Source organism: Homo sapiens, chromosome 21 (assembly GCF_000001405.40).
Source record: "Homo sapiens chromosome 21, GRCh38.p14 Primary Assembly".
NCBI lineage: Eukaryota > Metazoa > Chordata > Mammalia > Primates > Hominidae > Homo > Homo sapiens.
Window position 1 is genome coordinate 46054341 of NC_000021.9, and position 6981 is coordinate 46061321.

Consider the following 6981-nt stretch of genomic DNA (forward strand, 5'->3'; position numbering starts at 1 on the left):
GTGCTGAGATTATAGGCATGAGCCACCGCGCCTGGCCTATTTTCTTAGATTTATCCCTAAGTAATACATTTTCTTTGATGCTATTGTAAGGCCTTTCTTTGATGCTACAATAAGTCCTTTTAAATTTCTCATTTTCCAGTTATTCACTTTCACTGCCAGAATATGCGATGGGCTCTCGGGTATGCAGTGTGCCAGTCAGCCCCACCCTGACACAGCGGAGCAGAGAGAGACGGTCCTGACGGAGCAGGCCAGGGATCAGCACCGCCCACTGGGCCTCTGACCCCTCTGACCCATGACCTCCAAGCCCTGCGGTCAGTCTGTGCCCAGGCCCAGTCTGTGCTGGAGCCCTCCCTGCAGCCCCCTCTGGCAGGACTTCAGAGGGATCCCCAGCTCCTGGCCCACATGGCCGCATCTGGCCCAAACACACATTCCTTTCGCCACTCTCCTCTGAATGGAATCTGGCTTGCCCCGCACAGCCTCTGCCTCCCTCTGCCCCGCACAGCACCCTCCCTCCCTCTGCCCCGCATAGACCCTCCCTCCCTCTGCCCCGCACAGCCCCCCTCCCTCCCTCTGCCCCGCACAGCCCCCCTCCCTCCCTCTGCCCCGCACAGCCCCCCTCCCTCCCTCTGCCCCGCATAGACCCTGCCTCCCTCTGCCCTGCACAGCCCCCTCCCTCCCTCTGCCCTGCACAGCCCCTCCCTCCCTCCACCTCACACAGGCCCCCTCCCTCCCTCTGCCCCACGCAGACCGCCTGCCTCCCTCTGCCCCGCACAGGGATCCTGCAGGTTCAGGGTGGAGTGGCCTAGCCCAAGCCCTCAGCCTTTCCTTGTGAGTCTGGGTGACTTCTGAAGGGGCTGAGAACCGCTTAGTGGTCTGGACCCTCCCTTGGGGGCTTATGAGCCATCACACCTCGGTCCTGCCATGGAGACCTCCGGCTGACATCTCCTCAGAGCCTCCCTGGTGTCCAGAGCCCCAGCAGGCAGTGCTAAGCCGGCCACACTGAAGGCCAGGAGGCAGCGCACGGGGACGCTGGAGGAGCACCTGGTGAGCTGGGAGGCGAGGCCCTGGGACGGGACAAGTAGCAGACGTCTCAGCGCACACAGGCTCCTGCCGGACCCGGAGGGGCTCTCTGTTCCATGTGGTCCTCCAGGGATTCGGGCTCCTTGGCCCTGAGGGCTCTGCCCACCTAGCACCTTGGGGCTGTTCCTTGAACCCCCTGCCCCCTAGGGTGGGGACAGGAATACGTATTACTTAGGGATAAATCTAAGAAAATAGGCCAGGCGTGGTGGCTCACACCTGTAATCCCAGCACTTTGGGAGGTCGAGGTGGGTGGATTGCCTGAGCCCAAGAGTTTAAGACTGGCCTGGGCAACATGGTGAAACTCCCGTGTAGACCGTCTCTACAAAAAGTACAAAAATTAGCAGCTGGGCGTGGTGGGAGCTGGGCCGAGGGTCAGGCCTGGAGGTGGTGCCCATCACTGGGTCCCGCTCAAGAGAGAAGAGGCTGGGAAGCCAGGTGCAGCTGTGTGCCCACAGGCGGGTGAGACAGGACTGGGCCTGGATCCCGCACCCGCTCGCCGCGCAGCTCAGCGCAAGCGGCCTCCGGGGGCCTCCTCTCTGCAAGGGGAGCGCGCGCCCGGCCCTGACCCTGCCTGCTGATTCTCTGGAAGGTTCATGTCCGGGACTCCTCGGTGACCCTGGGCAGAGCCACCCACATGCGCTGCCTCCCCTCCCACCGCCTGACAGGTCTGGAGATGCCCAGAGACTTCTGGCATCCACCAGCAGCGAGGAGCGTCCCTCCCGCAAGGCTTGGCCTTTCCCCTCCAGCTTTGGCACAGGACGCGTTGGTCTGCCGTTTCTTTTGTGCACAACCATCAGTCATGATGTCAGCCCTGAGCTGGGGCCACAGAACCCTGAGCAAAGTGGGACATAATGGAAAGCAAACAAAAAAGAAAGAAAATGATGGTTTCAAACTAAAAACCTGAGTTCACATAGCGATAGATTTAAAACTATTTTAGAAAACACTCATTATCTCCCTGGCCTATTTTTTATTAAATTGACCAAATCTGTGGATACTCAATTGCTTGTGATGACTGCAAGCGCGCATCCGAGTCCCCAGGGAGGCAGCTTCCCTTCGCTCTTCGCCAGCGCCCCTCAGTCCTAACTTTGAGGAGGGCACACGTGAGATTTCCTTTTACCAACAGAGAATCTCCAAATCCAGCCTTTTACCAGAAGCCTCTCCGAGAAACTGGGGTGAGTAAATCGCCGCTGCTGCTGCCACCTTCAGAGAGGCCTTGGGCGCCCGCCCCGACAGCCCCACACGGTCCCGGAACTCGGGCCAGGCAACGCCCTCTCCTCCGTGCGGGGCTTAGTCATCGCCGTGCCGCTTGGCAGTGGTCTGTGGCCCCCTCAAAATGTTTCCATTTATGGAGAGAACGTGGCCTTCCAGATTTGCTGGCACAGATGGGAAAGCTCAAGCGCTCGGGCGGCCTCAGGGTTTCTCTCAAGGGCAGCAGAGGTCAGGGCCTGCAGGCTGGATGGAAGCTCCCCGCCCGGCCCGGGGGTCTCTGTGCTGCTGCGCTCCCGCCCGGCTCCTTCACAAACCTCCACCAAGTGTGGGACGTGGGCGTGGGGGGGTGGGCGGTGCCCACCCTGATGGGCACTGTGGTCGTCCACTGGTTCTGTTTGTTTAAAGTCTGGGCCTGAAGGCCTGCATGTCTCACCACACAGGACCCTCCCTGCCCGTGACGGGTGGCAGATGGGGTGTAGGCAGCCCCCGTGCTGCCCCTTCCCCAACCCGGGGGTGCACTTGTGTCGGGGCTGGGGTGGCCGTAGTGGCCCTAGATGTCTGCAGCTGGTGGGCAAAGGCAACACACCCTAAACCCACACCTGGCCCTCGGGCCCACCACGGTGCACGCACCCAGCAGCTGAAACTGCCTGGCTCCCCCAGCGTCTCTCCCAGGACCACAGCCCCCCAGCGACCGCTCAGCACTTCTGTGGCTTCGGCGGCAGCGCCCGCGGCTTCCTGTCACTCTCCCAGCTGGCTGAAGGCACAGACCCTCAGCTTCCACAACCCACAACTCCGGGAGGGGATTCCCAACCACAGACAGGGGTCTTTCCCCCGCAGGAAACCTCCCACCCTTCTTCAGGCTGTCAGTGAAACGGCAGCCACTTTTCAAAATAACAGTTTCTCCCTTTACGTGACATTAAAGAGGAAAGCACTCTGCCTTCACCTCAGTTCCGTCGCCCACACGACAATCTCTAGGGGGCTGGGGCTGTGAGTCCCCACCACGCAGGTGCCCAGTGGGCGGGGTCGGGGAGGGTGGTGGGATCGATGGTAAGGCTTCCAGCTTTATTCCACGTCTCCCTTGAAGAAACTGACTTCTGTGACTGGAAAGATCGGGTGCTCCTGCCTAGAAAGATCCAAGCCGTCCAACGTACAGCTGGGCTTTCATGTTAAACCCAGGGAGTGGGGTCTGATCCCTGCTCACAGCCTGGGCAGGTAGCACCGTGCTGGGGAGACGTCCAAACGAAGGTGCTGGGGCTCAGCTCCCTGCAGGTGGGTCCCGCGGCTCCTGTCCCCCGCGCGGGTGATGTGGCCTCGCCGTGTTCCCGATCGGCTCCCCACAGAGGCTGCACGTCTTGTGCATCCTCAGTGTCAAAGTAAAATGTCTGAAAAGTTAAAAACATGCCTCTCTCCAAATGCAGGGTAAAGACACAGCTGAGCCTCTCTTCAGCAGGGAGACGGCAGGGCTGGTGCGGGAGGGGTCGGAGGAGCAGGGACAGTGAGGCCTCAGGAGAGACACTGGGGGGGGAGGCTGTGGGGCAAAACCCTGCGCCCTACACAGCAGAGAAGCTGAGCCCAGCAGCGCGGTGCTTCCGTGCACCTTTCCTAGAGAGAGACACGAAACTTCACAGAACTGGAGCCCTGAATGAACCATGATGCCAAACATGAGCACACAGGTTCACAGGCCCAACACCCCACAGGCCCACACAGTCACAGGTTCACAGGTCCACACGTCCACACACCCACAGGTCCACACACTCACAGATTCACAGGCCCAACACCCCACAGGCCCACACAGTCACAGGTTCACAGGTCCACACGTCCACAGGTCCAACACCCCACAGGCCCACATGGTCACAGATTCACAGGTCCACACACTCACAGGTCCACAGGTCCACACGTCCACAGGTCCACACACTCACAAGTCCACAGGTCCACATGTCCACAGGTTCACACATCCACAGGTCCACACACTCTCAGGTACACAAACTCTCAGGTTCACAGGCCCAACACCCCACAGGCCCACACAGTCACAGATTCACAGGTCCACACGTCCACAGGTCCACACACTCACAGGTCCACACGTCCATGGTCCACATGTCCACACACTCACAGGTCCACGGGTCCACACGTCCACAGTCCACAGGTCCACAGTTCCACACACTCACAGGTCCACAGGTCCACACATCCACAGGTCCACACACTCACAGGTCCACATGTCCACAGGTCCAGCAGTACACGGGTTCACACGCAGTCCACGGGTCCATGGGTTCACACATCTACAGTACAAAGGTTCACAGGTACACAGATCCAGAGGTCCACAGGTTCACACATACATGAGTTCATAGGTCCACAGGTAAAGTGGTCCACAGGTTCAGACACCCACAGGTCCATAGGACCACACATTCACAGGCTCACAGGTCTGCCAGTCCACAGGTCCACAGGTCCACAGGTTCACAGGTCCACAGCACTAACACGACAAGAAGCTGGCATACCATACCCCAGTGTGATGCTGAATGGCCCCATCTCTTTCCCACTTGCCCATATCCAAGTTTTAAATAACCCAAGGTTACAAGTAAGGACACCAGGACATAAACACTTCCCCGAGCCCTATTCTTTAGTGGCTTTGTCGATAGGCTGTGTAGACATGGATGCCCACCTGAGCCCATTGCTCAGTGTCTGTATGGACAGGTGGTGTGGACATGGAAGCTCGCCTGAGTCCGTCCCTCAGTGTGTGTGTGTGGACAGGTCGTGTGGACGTGGACGTTTGCCTGAGTGCGTCCCTCAGTGTCTGTGTGGACAGGTCGTGTGGTCATGGATGTTTGCCTGAGCCCGTCCCTCAGTGTCTCTGTGGACAGGTAGTGTGGACATGGACATTTGCCTGAGTCCGTCCCTCAGTGTCTCTGTGGACAGGTCATGTGGATGTGGACATTTGCCTGAGTCCGTCCCTCAGTGTCTCTGTGGACAGGTCGTGTGGTCATGGATGTTTGCCTGAGTGCGTCCCTCAGTGTCTGTGTGGACAGGTCATGTGGACGTGGATGTTTGCCTGAGCCCGTCCCTCAGTCTCTCTGTGGACAGGTCGTGTGGACGTGGATGTTCCCCTGAGCCCGTCCCTCAGTGTCTGTGTGGACAGGTCATGTGGACGTGGATGTTTGCCTGAGCCCGTCCCTCAGTGTCTCTGTGGACAGGTCTTCTGGACGTGGATGTTCCCCTGAGCCCGTCCCTCAGTGTCTGTGTGGACAGGTCGTGTGGTCATGGATGTTCGCCTGAGTCCGTCCCTCAGTCACTCTGTGGACAGGTCGTGTGGACGTGGACATTTGCCTGAGTCCGTCCCTCAGTGTCTGTGTGGACAGGTCATGTGGACGTGGATGTTTGCCTGAGCCCGTCCCTCAGTGTCTGTGTGGACAGGTCGTGTGGACGTGGACATTTGCCTGAGTCCATCCCTCAGTCTCTCTGTGGACAGGTCATGTGGACGTGGATGTTTGCCTGAGCCCGTCCCTCAGTGTCTGTGTGGACAGGTCATGTGGTCATGGATGTTTGCCTGAGCCCGTCCCTCAGTCTCTCTGTGGACAGGTCGTGTGGATGTGGATGTTCCCCTGAGTCCATCCCTCAGTGTCTGTGTGGACAGGTCATCTACACAGCCCCATCTGCCTTCAGCAAGCACAAGGAGATATCACACACCAGGGTGAAACAGTCACAGAGGCCGCCAAAGCAGCCACATCCAGAACTTTCTAAAGGTTAAAGGGTTGCATGGATGAAGGTATTTATTAAAAAGTTAGTAAGTCATGTTGAAGAACTCATTTTTAGAAGTTCTTCTGAGAGAGCCCACACCTCACTTTTCCTGATGTACCGGTCACAGGGCTCTGATGGAGGAGGGCTGTGGACCCACTCCCAACCCACAGCCTTGGTGGCCCTGGGCAGGCCACCCTTCCCCACCCTGGCTCTCAGTCCCCATTCATCATGGGACCTTCAGTTCTACAGCTAGGGAAGGATTGTGGTTTGGAGAAGAAATGCAGCCCCGGTCATGCCACAGTATGGAGGGGCCGTCCCTTCCCCCAGTTCCTCTTGTCCCCCCTCCGAAGCGTCGTTCTGCAGCTTGGCGTTCAGCTCTGACTGGCTTCCTTTAGCCTTGCTTTTCCAGTGAGGGGTGACTGTGGTGAAACAAGGATCATGAGAATCCATTCAGCCAAAACTCACAGTGGAAGTAGGTCACAGGGTGACCACAGTGAGTCATGCTGGAGAGGCTTAGCCCCCACCTCCCTCGGCTGCCTGGGTCCTCTGGGGATTTCCAGTGGAAAGTCTCTACTTCTGACTCAAGAAGGATGAGGTGGCCCATCCCAGTGGGAACACTTAAGGAAGTCAACGCAACGGAAATCGATTTGAAATAAACGTTTAGTAAGCTTTTCTGAATCTGTTTGCCAGACCCTGTTCATTATGTCAAAGTAGGCAAGAGGCCGCATAAATTTGGATGGTATTGGAAACAGTTATCATGCAAGAGTCCTTTCCAGCTCTCGAAAGATGGTTGAGTTGGAAACAGATGGCGATGGTTGGGGCACATTTCAGACATGGGGAAAAACATAAGAGAAATGAGAGGCAGGGACCTCATGCTCCGTCCTTGGGGAATGGAAAGGGTCCCTTTGACAGGGAAACTCCAGCACTGGCTGTGTCGCCGACTCCTGAACTCAGGTGCTCCAG

General features: G+C 58.0%; 2 annotated features.

Moving 5' to 3' along the window:
* Positions 1197–1926: an enhancer, noted in NCBI's record as "H3K4me1 hESC enhancer chr21:47475451-47476180 (GRCh37/hg19 assembly coordinates)". NCBI's record gives its function as "activates a minimal SCP1, AML or CMV promoter by ChIP-STARR-seq in primed H9 embryonic stem cells {active_cell/tissue: H9 hESC(primed)}" and the evidence as "EXISTENCE:reporter gene assay evidence [ECO:0000049][PMID:30033119]".
* Positions 2969–3028: an enhancer, noted in NCBI's record as "active region_18597". NCBI's record gives its function as "activates an Ori minimal core promoter by ATAC-STARR-seq in GM12878 lymphoblastoid cells {active_cell/tissue: GM12878}" and the evidence as "EXISTENCE:reporter gene assay evidence [ECO:0000049][PMID:35858748]".